We start from the raw sequence: 16,279 nt of genomic DNA on the forward strand, positions 1-16,279 counted from the left end.
CAAAAACAAAGTGCAATGGTAATACTGTGGGGGAGATAATATTGCTAGATTATTTATTAAAAATACAGAGTTTTCATTATTTAATAAAAGTAACATGTACTCTACTTTTGATTATTTTAGTCCACATAGTTATACTATGCATTTGGCAATCATCTTGCACAATTCCTAGAGTTACCCTTTGTTCTCTATTTAAGTTATTCCGAAATCAAATAATGTGCCAGAACAGGTAGCTCAATTAACTATGGGAGAGATATAAAGCAGATTTGTCTTGAAGTACCCAGAGAATGACCATATTATGGGTACTTTATAGAGTTAGGTATTTTATATTTAGTATACATTTAATATTAACAAAGGGTATATAGAAAACTCTTTATAATTATAATACAGAGTTGTTGGGTAATGATATTTTTACTTGTTAAACACTCAGGATTCCCCTTCAAAAATACACTAGTTAATTTACTTCTTCAAGGTTAGAAAAAAAAACCACACCTGTTAAAAAGTCACATATAAGCATTAAACAATAAAGACTTTCCTTTATCGCAAAGGAGTTATAACAATCTATTTACAAATAATACACATTTGTCTTTTCAGCATTCTATTATTCTCCTAAATCATCTCTAGCACAAAACCAAAACTTAAAGAGAGACAGATGTGTGTTTCTGCTCCAATTTATACACAGCTGTCAAATGAGATGGGTTACCATTGTAACAGAGTGATCATTTCTGTATGCATAAAACTGACAGATGTTTACCTCTATCAGAAAGTCTCTCTCTCTCTCTTTCTCTCTCTCTCTGTCTGCCCCCCACCGTCTCTTCCCCACTCCCTCCCCTTTTATTCCCTCCCTCTCTCTTTTTGAGACCATATCTTTTGCTACAGCACCTTAGATACTTATTGCCATATCTTCTGAACTGACCCTTTAAGATCCAGTCTTTACTCATAAACTCAAAACAAATATGAAGTGCTCTCTACTAGAGCATAATGAAATTTAAATAGAACTTAGCATGTTCTTAAAACAAGCTTTGAAGTATTTGAACAACCAAAGCCAAAGTTTATTATAGAATTGAGGGTCAGCCACTGCAAAATCAGCTACAGCACATGGTTGAGTATAGGAAAATCACCAAAGACAGAAGGAGTTGAGCAATTGCACTTTCAGCTGCCTTTTGTCTTCCGGAATGGCAGGGTGTCTGGGACTCCAGCCCTCCCCTGTGAATTTGCCAAGCCCTTGGCATTTGCCACATGAGACTGACAAGGAGCAGTCTCTGTGATCAAAAGGTCATAAACCCCTCTTTCCAGCTGCTTTTTGCACAAACTTTCATACAGCACCCTTTCATGCATGTGTTGCCTTCCCATCTTCACCTTTATTTTGGAGCCATGACCTTGTGAACCAAAGAATGAATTCCCACATCTTTTCAGTCTGGGCTCCACCAAATGGCAGAATCAGTCTCAAATATAGGTCCTGTTTTAGAGGAAGGTGTGATAGTTCATAAAAAATCAGAGACGGAGAATGGGAATAGCCTTCTAGAACATACTAATGTCCTCTAATGAGTAATTGTAAATGAATTTTCCAAGAAAACATGTATCTCCTTTTTTCTTTTTTTCCTTTTTTTCATCTATCTTTGACCTCTACCACACTTGGAATATGAGTTATCCAAAATCATCATCAGTAGTAACACGATTTTGTCCTCTCAACAATGCAATCATGTGCTGCATAACATTTCATTCAAGAACAAACCATATATAGTATGCTGGGCCCATAAAATTATAATGGAAGGGCCAGGCACGGTGGCTCATGCCTGTAATCCCAGCACTTTGGGAGGCCGAGGCAGGCAGATCACCCAAGGAGTTTCAGACCAGCCTGATCAACATGGAGAAGCCCTATCTCTACTAGAAATACAAAATTAGCCAGGCTTGGTGGTGCATGCCTGTAATCCCAGCTACTGGGGAGGCTGAGGCAGGAGAATCGCTTGAACCCAGGAGGCAGAGGTTGTGGTGAGCCGAGATCGCACCATTGCACTCCAGCGTGGGCAACAAGAACGAAACTCCGTCTGAAAAAAAATATATATATATAATGGAAGGTGAAAAATTCTTATCCTAGTAACATTGTAGCTATCCTAATGAAGTGGCACAATGCATTACTTTTTCTATATTTAGATATGTTTAGATACAAACATATCTTTATGTTGTACGTATCTGTATGTTTTATGTTGTAATTGTATGCAGTGATGTAAAGTAGCCTGTCATTTTTAATACTTTTTTTGTGATTAAGTAAGTTTGTATTTATTCTTTGCAGTGACTTTAAGTGTTCTTGGCTGTTCTTGGCTGTAAATATACAAACATATATTTAGATATGTTTAGATACATTGTTTTACAGTTGCTGACAGTATTCAGTATAGGAACTTGATGTACAGTTTTGTAGCCTAGGAGCAATAGGCCATCTCACATACCCTAAGTGTGCAGTAGGCTATCCAATCTATGTATGCATAAGTACACTCTATGATGTTTGCACAGCAACTAAATCACCTGATGATGCATTTGTCAGAATATATTCCTGCCGTTAAGCGAAATGTGACTATCTATGTTCAGAAGTAGAACTCTTAATAGTTTTGAAAGAGGACTAATGCCGATTTGTGGGTAATAGAAAAAATGTGGGTTTACAAATAAAATATATTTATTTTATTTTATTTTGTAGAGATGAGGGTTCTCACTATGTTGCCTAGGCTGGTCTCAAACTCGTGGGCTCAAATGATTCTTCGGCCTCAGCCTCCCAAAATGCTGGGATTACAGGTGTGAGCCAGCATGCCCAGCAAAGAATAAAATATAATTTAGAACAAATCTCAGCTTTCTCACTTGACACCAGTGGAAGATTGTATGAGTGATTTCACCTCTTGGAACTTCAGAGGCATCTTATTAGAGAGTTTCATCACATTCATTTTCCTGGGTTCTTATGAGAATTAAGCAGTACAAAATAGTGCTCAATACAACCTTTCATAAAATTGTGCTCAATACATAGCAGCTTCCCTTGTAGCCAGTACTTTTTCAGTTTCTCCCACATTATTTTATCATAGTGATTTATGCTACTCTGATGTGCAAGTGTTTTCTGATTATAAAAAAGGCCCCTGTTGATTTATCAAGTGAATATGACCAGTAACTATCTTTCTTAATATTTTCAGGACCTAATTACAGTATTTATCTTTTATATAAGATGCATATACTCAATATGTCTCATGATCACAAAGTATTCTCATTGAATCATGCATACTTCTGAAAGAAAATCACATACATACACACACGCAGAGAACGAGGCTAGTTAATAGCTTAAGAAGGCTAATTTTCAAATGTAGAGTAATGCTCTTAAGCTGTAAGACTAGGATCTACAGTTCTAATATGGAGGGTTCTTGAGTTTTAACTACCAAATAATGTCAGCTAATTCATGTATGTCTTTGCATAGAATTTTTGTGTTCTTTTTAAAATGGAAAAATGCATAAAAATTTTTATTCCTCGTTCTCTTTCTTCCAGGCCTTCTGAAAAGAAGTTCTACTCATCCTTCCAAGCCTATAGAACCAAGGATAAGGAGAAGCTAGGAGCCTAAAATATAGAAAAGAAATGATATATTCACAAGACGCTGTCAGAAAAGCATACTGATCACAAAATCATGACATTCGAGAGGGAATTTTATAGCATGTGCCGAATCCTGAGGTCAAAACCATAGTGGAATAACATAGCTCCCTCTAAACCTCTTAGACACCATCCTCTGTGTGAGTAGTCCTCACTGCTTTTTTTCTACATTCAATAGGGTTACAGTTTCAATTGCATAGCCTCTGTGTTACATTTACGATAACAATACTTCAAAAAAATCTGTTACATCCTTTTGAAATCAAAGTTCAGAGGATTGCTTCTAAGCTAGGACATAGAAATGGAGTATTTCTTTAGGACTTTTTATCTTTATTTTACTGATTATACTATAATTGTGGGGGCCATCTCAAATACAATTTTAAACATCATCAATGTATTTGGTGAAAGATATCAAAGGTGGGTTGTAAGAATTATGTCTATGATTATGCCACTGGATGGCAAAATACGGATGTATCTGTCATTAGTTTTCTAGCCCATAAAATCACACTTTTTAAAAAAGGCTAACAGCGGTTATTACCTAATTTATAAGTAATCGTATGGAGTGATGTAAAGTAGCCTGTCGTTTTTAATACTTTTTTTGTGATTAAGTAAGTTTGCGTCTATTCTTTGCAGTGACTTTAAGTGTTCTTGGCTGGTTTTTGTTGTTTTTGTTGTTGTTGTTGTTTTTAATGGAGTCTTGCTCTGTCACCAGGCTGGAGTGCAGTGGCACGATCTTGGCTCACTGCAAGCTCCGCCTCCCGGGTTCAAGCAATTCTCCTGCCTCAGCCTCCCAAGTAGCTGGGACTACAGGTGTGTGCCACCACGCCCAGCTAATTTTTGTATTTTTAGTAGAGACGGGGTTTCACCATGTTGGTCAGGATGGTCTCGATCTCTTGACTTTGTGATCAGCCTGCCTCAGCCTCTTAAAGTGCTGGGATTACAGGTGTCAGTCACCGCACCTGGTCCTTGGCCACCTTTATACCTCTGCCAAATAAAAAGAAAAGTATGAAACAAAAAGAAGATTCCAGTTATCTCATATTATTCACAGCCTCATGTCTAAACTACACCTCCAAGACCCCACATCACTCTATAGTGTTATGATTTGAAGTCTGTCTCCCACAAAAGATATCCTGAAATCCTGACCCTATGGTACCTCAGAATGTAACCTTATATGGGGAATGGGGTTGTTGCAGTTATAATTTGCTAAATTAATTCAATATGGTGGGTGTGCGTGTAAGAAGACAGAAATTTAGACACAGACACAGAGGTAAAATAGCCATGTAAAGACAGAGGCAGCGATTGGAGATATGCGAGCACAAGCCAAGGAATGCTGGGCCTCCCAGAAGCTGGAAGAGGCAAGGAGGAATCCTTCCCTAGAGGCTTTGGAGGGAGCATGGACCTGCCCACATCTTGATTTTGGACTTCTAACCTACAGAACTATAAGACACTAAATTGCTGTTGCATGGTACTTTGTTATGGCAACCCTAGGAAACTAACATACACGTTTCACAAGTTCACTATTCTTCCTGCTTTCTGACCTTGGGACTCATATTCCTAATTATGGCTTTGCCTAACCCTTAGACTTAAAACTGCACTACGTTTTCTGGCTTTGTGTTTTTATTTTCTTTCTTAACTATAATTAATGATCGCCCTCCAATGATTTTATGAAACACAGGTGTCCTGGTGCCAACCAATCCCAGTTTGCAGGAGACAATTGTTAAATTTTTGAGAATTTTGCAAGCTGGTTGCTAAACACAGCCATTTTTTTTTAAAAATTACATTGTATAAGTTTTAATATAGGAAAACAAAAACAAAGGTAATAAATGATTAAAACTCATCACTTCCTAATTACTTAAATACATTTTACTACTCTCTGTGCTTACTACTCTTGATGCTTTTAAGGTTATTTACATGTGTTTTACCTGTATAGTGGAAACATTATGTAATGATGAACTAATTCCCATCCTTTCCCAACTCACATCTCACATTGGTAGCTTGATATCAGCCATAATGAGAGTATTTACACCATGAATGTTGCTAAAAGCTACAAATCAGTTATTTTTATATTTTCAGAGAGTTGGTTATAAACATAAACCAGCACAGCATTGAAATGCTATAAAGTCCATTCTATAGGCCAAATTGGGATGGCTGTAGAGGAACAGAAAAAAGTTAGCTGGAGAGATCTCTTTTCTTGGCCCTGCATTGTACCTTTCAGCAGGAAGTTAGAGCTCAGGATAGCAAGAAAAAGCAAATAAAGGATGCTATTACAAATAATGAAGGCAGAGAGATTTGACCGGGATTGTGAAGAGGGGATAAGGAAGACTTAGATCCTGGTGACCTACTTTTAGTATTGTCTGCTAAATCCTCAGGGAAGTGTTTAGCTCTGATTATAAATATTAATTAGATTTCAATCAGAGACTATTTAAAGGGTCTGTACACCTTAGAGAGAGACATTTCAGATAGATTGATTGTTAGAAATATATACAGATATAGTAATATATATAGCATTTTCATGTACAAGTGGTTCAAGTTGGTAATAAGTAGATGATTTCACATAGTAAAACAGACCCAAGCCAGCTACAAAATTATAGGTAAATTAAATGACTCTATAAATAAGCATGATAAAACCTTAGTAACTTTAGCAGATATATAATTCCACTGTATATGGATAGGGTCAACATTCTTTAGCTTTGCTATAACATCTTCCTTGTTATGCATATAAACTGAACAAAAATATTTGTAGAAGCAGCAGCTCTACACATTTAAAAACAAACAATGAAAGAACCTGATACTTATTAAATAGTGACTTCCTAAAATTCTTAGGCATAATTTGAGGCTGTTGGCTGCTTGACATTATTCTGCACTGTGGGGAGTGGAGTCTCAGGTAAGAGACCCTGTCCTAGCCCTTGAGCTCTGTGACAGCAAGAGTTGGGAATGCTGCAAACTTGCAATCAGTGCCAGAAAGAAGGTGGAAGGTGTTTCTTCTTTTAACCACAATGCCAGCAACAGATTAAGGAGTGGTGTTACCCACACTACATGAAGCGTTGTTGAGTCTACTCTTGCTGTGAGTATTGTGTCTCAAATCAGGAAATGTTCTAAGTGTGGAATGTGTGAAGCGTGCATCACATCAGTCTGTTGTGACTGAGGCATTCTTTCAAAACCTGTCATCTGAGTCCAACAATGTTCCTATTTAATTAGCCACTAGTTTTTCTTTCTTTTTAATGATAAATAAGAGGCTCCCTTTCCTTCTCCGTGTACACAACATAGCTAGGGAAGAAACTCAGTCTCTTAAAGTCCTGCATAGTTTAACATTCATTCTTAGATTCTTTATGCATTTTGAATAGAAAAAAAAGGCAAATCCAGCTCATACATATGGTGGTCTTAAAAGGAAGCATATAATGAAGTATAAAAAATTACATCACAAATAAAAACAATACAATAACCATTTTTACAATTTTACTCTGCAATGTATTATTAGACTTGGAGAAACACTGCGAGTTTAGGTGGTTGTTGGCATGGCAAATGCTACTAATCAAAGAAACAGAGGTAGTTGGAGATGGACCAGAAAAGTAGGAGCAATGAGGGAGTGCTACTAAGAGTGATATGACTCAAGAATTTTTCCCTCTGTCTTTCTTAGTTCTCCCTATGTTCCCTCTCCCAGTTGTTGCTGAATTCACTGCTACCCCCAACCCCCATCCTGGACTCATTACTGCAAAGTCTTCTCAACTGATTCCCCAACTCAAGATGTAATTAGCTTCTCAGGCTAAGAGCAATTGGTAAAACATCTCACACATTTTTGTCCTTGTTGTTTGTGGGCATTTTTGTATGTTTATTGTTTTTATTTTTGTTTTTGTTTTTTGAGGCAGTTTCTCACTCTGTCTCAAAGACTAAAGGGCAGTGGCTTGATAATAGCTTACTGCAACCCCGAACCCCTGGACTCAAGCAATCTTCTGGCCTCACTCCCTCACCCCTAACCCCTTAGCTAAGACTACAAGTGCATGCCACCATGCTTGGCTAATTTTTAAATTTTTTGAAGAGGTGGGGTCTCGCTATATTGCCCAGGCTGACTCAGTTTCTTGAGAATCTTGAAAACAAACAAACAAAACACATGCTCAAGAACCAAAGTAAAAAAAAAAAGTTTTCAAATAGTTTGAGTAAGAAATGTCCTCAGATTAAACCACATAAAGCAGTTATGGTAGCATTAACAACAATCTATTATAGATCCATAAACATTCAATGATTTTAATATATTCTGAAAACTAGCTAAAGCATCATTCAAAATGTCTTCATTTTAAACTAAAATGTCAATAGGCATTTAACCGAAAAAAAATTTAAAGCTTGACATACTAAGCTTTCCTTCAAAAGTTTACATTTTTTTATATTTCACTGGAACAAAGTTACTTTGCATATACATCACACTTTTACTCTCAGAGGAGTTTCTCCTGCAGACTTCTTTAAAAAACTATATACATATATACATACATATACGTATATATTAAATTATCCTCAGCCTCAAATACTGATTTTGCAGTCTGTGATTCATAGCAGAAGAGGTGTCCCATTTTTCTATATTGACACACGATAATTTGACATTTGTTTTTTACTGACCAATTTCTAGCTAGATATTTCATCTATAAACTGCACTTAGCCAGCCTTATGCTGAACTTTGTAAGGGTTTTGTAATAATAAACTGTTCTTGACTGAAACACAAGCCTTTCATAATTACATGCCACAGTGCAATTCTTATGCAACGAGCTTGTGTTTTTCCAAATTTAGGACCAAGCATGTAGTTTTATCAGTTAGCTGGGATTTGGTCTTGTTTTCCCTTGATTCTGTAAGTGGTAGTTCTAACTTTGAAATGGGTCATCTAACTTATAACTATTTTCTTCATTTCTTTTTAAAAGGGAGAAATAGCATGCAAATTTCTGGCATGTTGATAGAAAGTTCAGCATTTTTTCCCTGACATGAAATATTTCATTTAGAATGCGTATGTTTCCTCTACGTATAAGGTTTCCTAGAGTCAGATATGATAAAAACAAACTCTGAGATGTATATACCTATGTTCCTACAAGTGTAAAACCTGAATGATGTCTCTGGAAATGGAGCCTCGGAGTGACCAGGAACACAAATACTTATATGTCACAGAAATAGAGGGGCACATACTTTGAAATATTTCAATGGAAATCAAAAATTGTAGTTTACTGGATTGAAATTAGTATCCTCTACTTAAACATTTTTGACACAAACTCAATGCTGATTCAGATCTGTAATCCATGTAGCTCATAATAACTTACTTGGTAGAAGTATTTCAGATTAATGAATTGTACAATTGTACAAATTAATAAATTGTACAATTGTTCAACTATACAATTAATTGTACAATTTGTATAGTTGAAAAAATCTATAAATTAATTTATAGATAAATTATCAAAGAAGACAACATTTTAAATAGTTATTCCCAATATTTTTTCTTCCATAATTAAAATAAAAGTAAGTATCTCAGCAATTGCTTGTTCTTAAAATTTCACTGCTATCTCAGCAGTCATGTAAGTTATTCTGGCTATTTAATTTTTCACTTTTGTTTGCATACTGTAACAGTTGGTAGGATAATTAATTTTGATTGTACATTTCCATTGAACTTTTGATGAAATTGTTTCACTCTTTTTATTAGAATAAAATTATTAGGAAAGTCTTCTAAAGAGAGGTTTTCTGTTTGTTTTTCCTTTGAGGAAGGTAGAGAGATGGGAAACGAAGACACCAAATATAAAGTCATTCCTCTATCTCTCATTTTAAAACCTGTTTTAAAGGTTGTAGCTAGTCAGGAAAACTGAAAAATCAACTGGTATTCCTAACTAAAGCAGGGCTTTGAAACTCTGCTACTAGCGACAGGGTTGGGAAAATTCCGGTTGCTCTTCTTGTCTGTGATATACGGTAGAAGGGTTGGTCCTGGTTTGGTCCACCTGCCAGCGGAGTTTAAAGTTTCCGAGGCTCAGAGGAACACAATGACTTGGATCAAACAGCCTAAATGGGAAGAAGGACATTTTTGCTGCATCAAGGAAGCCGTTAAACTCCTGCTAAGCTAACTAGCTCTTTTTTATGGGTCCATGCACACGACCGAACTCCTCTTTCACTGACCAGAGATTATTTCTGACAACCCAGGATATCCCGAAAGCTTGGAGGCATATGGCTGGAAAATGAAACGACCCAGGACATCGTTTCTGGCTGCATCATTATTTTGTGTCGCGTAGTACCAGATGGGCAGTCAGTGAGCGGCGCAGGGATGTGAACGGACGGTTTTATAATGTGAAAATTTTCCCTTGGTAAAGCTAAAACAGATTTAATTTCCCTCTCTTTTCTTTCACTACTTCCCCCTCTTTATTCCCCCTCTGTCTGCAATATCAGTGAACTCAACTTTGCAGTGAGGTGGCCAAAAAGAGAGAGAATGAGGAGATCTTGATCATCTTAGTGTCGGAGGAGTCGCAGCGGACTGGGAACTGCAGCTGCGACCCCCCGCGTCCTGTGCGGATTTCAGGGCTGATACCGCATAGGCGGTTATGGAAAGGACGGTACACCGGAGCGGCGGAGGATAGAGACCCTGGCCCCCGGAGAGGTCTGCTGATTTCGCAGCAGCCTTCGAAGCCGTGGCTGCCTTTCATCTGCTGCGTTTTATTACTATTATCGCCGTTCCGGAAAAGTCATGGAAGACAGCCCGCTGCCAGACCTCAGAGACATCGAGCTGAAGCTGGGGCGCAAAGTACCCGAGAGTCTAGTGCGCTCTCTCCGTGGGGAGGAGCCGGTTCCCAGGGAAAGGGACAGGGACCCCTGCGGGGGGAGCGGTGGTGGTGGCGGCGGCGGCGGCGGCTGCAGTAGCAGCAGCAGCTACTGCAGCTTCCCTCCCTCCTTGTCGTCCTCCTCTTCGTCCTCCCCAACCTCTGGCTCCCCACGAGGTAGCCACTCTAGCGCCCTGGAGAGGCTAGAAACCAAGCTTCACCTCCTCAGGCAAGAGATGGTGAGTGTGGTGCGCCAGCCGCGGGGGCTGGGACCTGGGCTGGGCCAAAAGATGGGGCGATCTGAGAATGGGGCTGGGAGAGAGGACGGCAGGGGCTGCAGAGCGGAGCGCTGGGCGCGTGGGAAATGCTGGGTGGAGGAATGAGCAGGGGGCGCTCATCCGGAGGCAGCTGCTGCGAGGCTTGTTTACCGCGGACTTTGCTCGGTCACGGTTTGCAAAGACAGCACAGTCGGCTGGCTCCACTCTGTGTACTTTCGGACAACGCGACTCACTGCGCCGGGCTCTATTTAGCTGCCAGCCCGTAGCCTCTTAGGCACCAGCCCGTTGAGAGTTTGCAGTTATTGCACCCATCTAAGGCCTGCTGTGCGCTGTTAACACTTCGGGTAGGTTCAAAAGGTGGCTCAGTCCAATGCACTTACTGCAAAAATACTTCCTGGTTTGCCGGGAGGTGGCGTGGCAGGGTCCTTGCAGCCTTTCCTCCTAGCTCACCCTTCCACCAGTACCGCTCCGCCCTCCTGCCCTCCCTTCTTGGTGCAGCAGCCGCAGCTGTTCCAAGGCCACTGTCGAGCAGATTCTCCACAGCTGGTTCTGAAAACAATGGCCTACTCGTCCTTGATGTACTTATGAATAGCTTGTTTCACTATTTTGATCCCAGGGAGCAGGTGATCCCCAGGCCCAGGGATCTGCTAAGGACCATCTCCCACCCTTCTCCCTCAAGTCTCAATCTGCAGTTGTTTTCCCTGCTGTTTGCAAACGTTTGCCTGAGCATAGGACAATGAGATAAGTACAAGGTCTAGGAATACTCATTCTGGAAGTATTTAGACTAAGACACTATTTACTTGCCATGAGCTCTTGGGCACGTCACTTCACTTCTGTAGACCTCTGTGAATTTGATGAGCTGGTTAGAGAAAATGATCCCTCCCTAAGTCCTTTGAAAAAAACGACCACAAAGCAACAGCATTTTCTACTAGCTTGGAGATAAGGAAAGTTGCAACAGTGGGCCTCAAAAAGAGAAAATAATTTCATTAAATTAACTTCACAGTTGCTTTTGATTTGCTTCAAAGTAGGCTAGGAGATTTCTATCACTCCGACAGGAATGCTGGAAATTATTTCTATCATTCTATCGTTTAGTTATTATAGAGTTCTATCATTTAGTGATTGTTATTTTTTAGGTTGGACAAAAATTTAAGGACAACCCTTAGGTACATAATGGAGAAGCTGGAAAGTGGAAGTCATCTTGATGAGTTTGCAAAATAGATGAAAAGATAAAATGGAAAAGATGACAAACCAACAGGTCAGGGGATGCCTGATACCGTATCACAAAGATCAGACATACGTGTGGAGACTAACAGGTAAAACTATTTTCCACAAGAAAATTTCTTGTACAAGGAATTAAGAATGTTGCTAACTCTGCAAATTAAGGACTTAATATGAGGGACGAAGACATCAAGGAGATGAGGAAATTTTATTCCTAACCATGTCTTCTGTAATTTTACCCATGGAATGTTAATATATTCACTTAATCTAATAAATAAATCTTGTTGAAACATATTTTCTTTCTCAGTAGCTCACTGATAGCACATCAAAGATAATACTGTCATTTTGCTGGACACTCAGACACAATTTAGAGTATTTATATATAACTTGAAAACAGTAACATTTCCAAAAACCGATGAACCCCACCCTGTCCCAAGGAATGATTGGTATGTATGTGAAGATCATTTTCTGACAAAAATAATTACGTTCCACTTAGGATGCACAACCATGTTGTCCTGTAGAGAAGTCACAAGTTTTGTGAGAATTTTTAAACTGATGATGTTTATTTCCATGGTAACGTGAGTATACATTTTACCTTCTATTGTAGTGATGAATCACAATTAGTTTTTTTTTATAGGTTGGTGGAAAAGTAATTGCTGTTTTGCCATTGCTTTTAATGGCAACCACAACTACTTTTGCACCAACCTAATATTTATTAAGACTTTACTTTTTTGAGACACAATTTCTGAAACTGGGATTTATGTTGAGAGTCTCTAAGGTCCCTGATAATTTGTCGCATTTGTTGTTGTTTTTTGGAGAATATTTCATCACTACTCAAATGATGGTCCTCTGGTCTGGTGGAAGCTTCGTAAGCTTTGAAGCCAGATAAACCAGGGTTTCAGACAAGTCTAGAGCAAGTCAGGATATCAATAAGACCCAATAGGATGTAGGGCTGCCTGTCTAGGGAGACATTTAGCTTATCTTCCCCGGCAAAAAGGCTTGTCCCGCTCTCTGTGGCCCTCATTCTAGTCATGGCTTTTTCACTCACTAGTGTGTGGCACTGAACAAGTTATAGAACCACTTTGAGACTCAGCTTTCTTGTTAACATAGGAATAAGAGCATCTCCATTAAGGCATTTTAAGAATTCAGTGAAATAATATAAGAAAAACAACTATTACATAGATATTCAAAAACAGTAAGGATGCTGGCAGTAATGAGCATTACATCAATGACATGGGTTCCGTTGATCTTACAAAAGCAGCCCTACATGGATAATGTGGATTTGGGACTGATGAAGGCCTAGATATCTTCTCCACCAGACTGACTCTATCATGTCATCTCCCATGTCATCAGATACTCTCTGTAGAGACGATGTTTCCAAACAAACTAACGCACAAAATATGTGTAGGTTTCCCTAGCTTCAGTTCAACTGGAAATCTTGATTTTTATTTTAAATTTAACTTTTATTAAACACATGCTATGTGCTAAGCATGCTGCTGATTGAAGTAGCATGTATGAAAGAATTGTAGAGCCTAATGTCAGGTAGTCCAGGAAATCTGAGGAACTTAAACCAATACAGTAGCCCACCTTATCCATGGGAGATATGTTCCAAGACCTCCAATGGATGCTTGAAACTGTGGATAGTACCAAAGCCTATATAGACTGTTTAGTCCTATGCGTACGTACCTATTGTAAAGTTTAATTTATAAATCAGTCACAGTAAGAGATTAACAATAATAACTAACAATAAAATAAAACAGTGTATTGCTATGTGAATGTCTCTCTCTCTCTTTCTCTCTCATTCTCTCTCTCTCAAAATACTATAATATTTTCAGACTGCAGTTGACTGTAGGTAACTAAAAGCAAAGCCATAGATAAGGGTGTACTACTACATTTGGTTACTTTGGTGAGACTTTACTATGTGTAAGACACGGTGCTAGTTAAACATTTTATATGTATTATCCCGTTGAAATCTTATAATCTTTTTTTTTTTTTTTTTTTTTTTTTTGAGACGGAGTCTCGCCCTATCGCCCAGGCTGGAATGCAGTGGAGCGATCTCGGCTCACTGCAAGCTCCGCCTCCCAGGTTCAGGCCATTCTCCTGCCTCAGCCTCCCAAGTAGCTGGGACTACAGGCACCTGCAACCACGCCCGGCTAATTTTTTGTATTTTTAGTAGAGACAGGGTTTCACCGTGTTAGCTAGGATGGTCTCTATCTCCTGACCTCGTGATCCGCCACGGCCTCTCAAAGTGCTGGGATTACAGGCGTGAGCCACCGTGTACGGCCGAAACTTTATAATCTTTTAACTAAATGTAATTGTCACCATAATCTTATAGACAAAGCATTGAGGTTTATTGAGCTAATGCTGAAGGTAGTAAGTGGAGGAGCCAGGATGAGGTCAGAATCTGAGATTTTAACCATGCCTATGCTGTCACTTCTTACACTTTAGAATACCTCCATGCTCATGTGGACACCTAGGAACAAATGAATATTTCTATTCTTCTCCCAGAATTTCAAAACATTAAACATGTTAAACTGTATTTTTGTTTACCATAAGCCTTCCCAGGAGGAACAAGCACTAAACACAGTCTCTGGCTTAGGATTTGGATGAACATATTCAAAAGCCATCTGCTTCCCAGCAATCATAATCATACCCTTTCCTTTTGGCCACTATCACCAAGATCTCCAGTAGTACTTCCTCTCAGTCCACAAGAACTGCCATGAGCAGTTAAAGGTTCTCCTGACACGACCAGTTCAAGTTTTAGAGCTCAATAATATTCATGATGTAGGAGTATCAAGAGCTTTTCATTGGTAGCATTTTAGTTCCCCAAGAGATTCTGTTCAGGATAAAACTTAGACCTTAGGTAACTCCCTAGAAAGAACTAGAAACTTGGAATCCTGACACCATCTTGTGTTCATTTAAGCAGTACTTTCAAATTGCTGTTTTTCCAACAGGAACTCAGTTATCCTCTTCTTCTCAAATGATATCAGTTGCACAGCACTGTGTGGTGACTTGCCAGGTGTGTGGTTGAAAACACATCCATCTGAATTGTGCTCATGTAAACTGCACTCATAGAATTCACAAGGAAAAAAAACAAGGTTATATTTCAAAAGTCTCGATCTTAGACCTCTAAATTAAACCTGAATTATTCATTTTCTTAAAAAGGGGCTAAACACTGTGGTGGATGTTGAGATATAACTAGGACAGTATTATTTCATTTTACAGATAAGGAAACTATGGCTTACAGAGATTAATTAACTATGATTCCCAGCCTGTTATTCAAACAAGAACCACTGTGAGCCTGGCTATCTGCTTGATCCAAAGTAATCCCAAACTATACTATATACTATATGCACTACGAAATGTGCCCATTTACTGTGAACGAACATTTTTATAGTAATTTCATCACATATCTACCAATGGATCTTTTGGCATTCCTTTAAAAATATTGTTTCTTTTTTTTAAAAAAAATAAATGTTTCTCATTGTAAAACTTCCAATAATACAGTAATAAATTGTATAAATAAGAAGAAAAGTTCACTTAATCTTACTCCTCCCCATTTTACTCTATACTCCAGAGGAAATACTTCTGACATTTTGTTTGTTTGTTTAATCCATGAGCTCAGCCATTTATCATATCTTTGTGTTACAAACATTCCAAATATACTCTTTTAGTTATTATTATTATTATTAGTTTTATTATTTGAGATGGAGTTTCGCTCTTGTTGCCCAGGCTGGAGTGCAATGGCTCAATCTCAGCTCACCGCAACCTCTGCCTCCTAGGTTCAAGCGATTCTCCTGCCTCAGCCTCCCGAGTAGCTGGGATTACAGGCATGTGCCACTACGCCCGACTAATTTTGTATTTTTAGTAGAGATGGGGTTTCTCCACGTTGGTCAGGCTGGTCTGGAACTCCTGACCTCAGGTGATCTGCCTGCCTCGGCCTCCTAAAGTGCTGGGATTACAGGTGTGAGCCACTGTGCCCGGCCCCTTTTAGTTATTTTTAAATGTACAATAAATTATTGTTGACTGTAGTCACCCTGTTGTACTACCAAACGTTAGCTCTTATTACTTCTTTCTAACTATATTAATGTATCCATTAACCATTCCACTTCCCCCCAGCTCGCTACCCCTTCCCAGCCTCTGGTAACCATCATTCTACTTCCTAGCTCCATGAGTTCAACTGTTTTCATTTTTAGCTCCCACGAATAAGTGAGACCACGCCAAGTTTGTCTTTCTGTGCCTGACTTATTTCACTTGTCACGAAATCCTCCACTTCCATCCATGTTGTTGCAAATGACAGATTCTAATTCTTTTCTTCTGGCTGATTAGTACTCTATTGTGCGTACGTACAACATTTTCTTTATCCGTTTGTCTCTTGATGGACACAGGTTGCTTGTAAAT

General features: G+C 38.8%; 1 protein-coding gene and 1 long non-coding RNA gene across 3 annotated transcripts in view; one reads left to right on the forward strand and one right to left on the reverse strand.

Annotated features, from left to right (window-relative positions):
- The window catches only part of LURAP1L-AS1 (LURAP1L antisense RNA 1), a 114,391-nt gene that overhangs the window by 65,408 nt on the left and 32,704 nt on the right, over positions 1-16,279 (reverse strand). The gene's annotated exons all lie outside the window — the stretch shown is intronic.
- LURAP1L (leucine rich adaptor protein 1 like) overlaps positions 9,614-16,279 on the forward strand; it is a 48,041-nt gene continuing 41,375 nt past the window's right edge. The window contains exons 1-2 of one of the 2 annotated variants that reach the window (XM_005251443.4): positions 9,614-10,621; positions 11,794-12,172. In XM_005251443.4, coding sequence (XP_005251500.1) covers positions 10,310-10,621; positions 11,794-11,823 — 342 coding nt within the window. In that variant the 5' untranslated portion in view covers positions 9,614-10,309 and the 3' untranslated portion in view covers positions 11,824-12,172. Of the gene's footprint in view, positions 10,622-11,793; positions 12,173-16,279 lie in introns of those variants that run through there. The other variant, NM_203403.2, reaches the window with a different exon arrangement.

This window comes from Homo sapiens, chromosome 9 (genome assembly GCF_000001405.40).
Source record: "Homo sapiens chromosome 9, GRCh38.p14 Primary Assembly".
Taxonomy (NCBI): domain Eukaryota; kingdom Metazoa; phylum Chordata; class Mammalia; order Primates; family Hominidae; genus Homo; species Homo sapiens.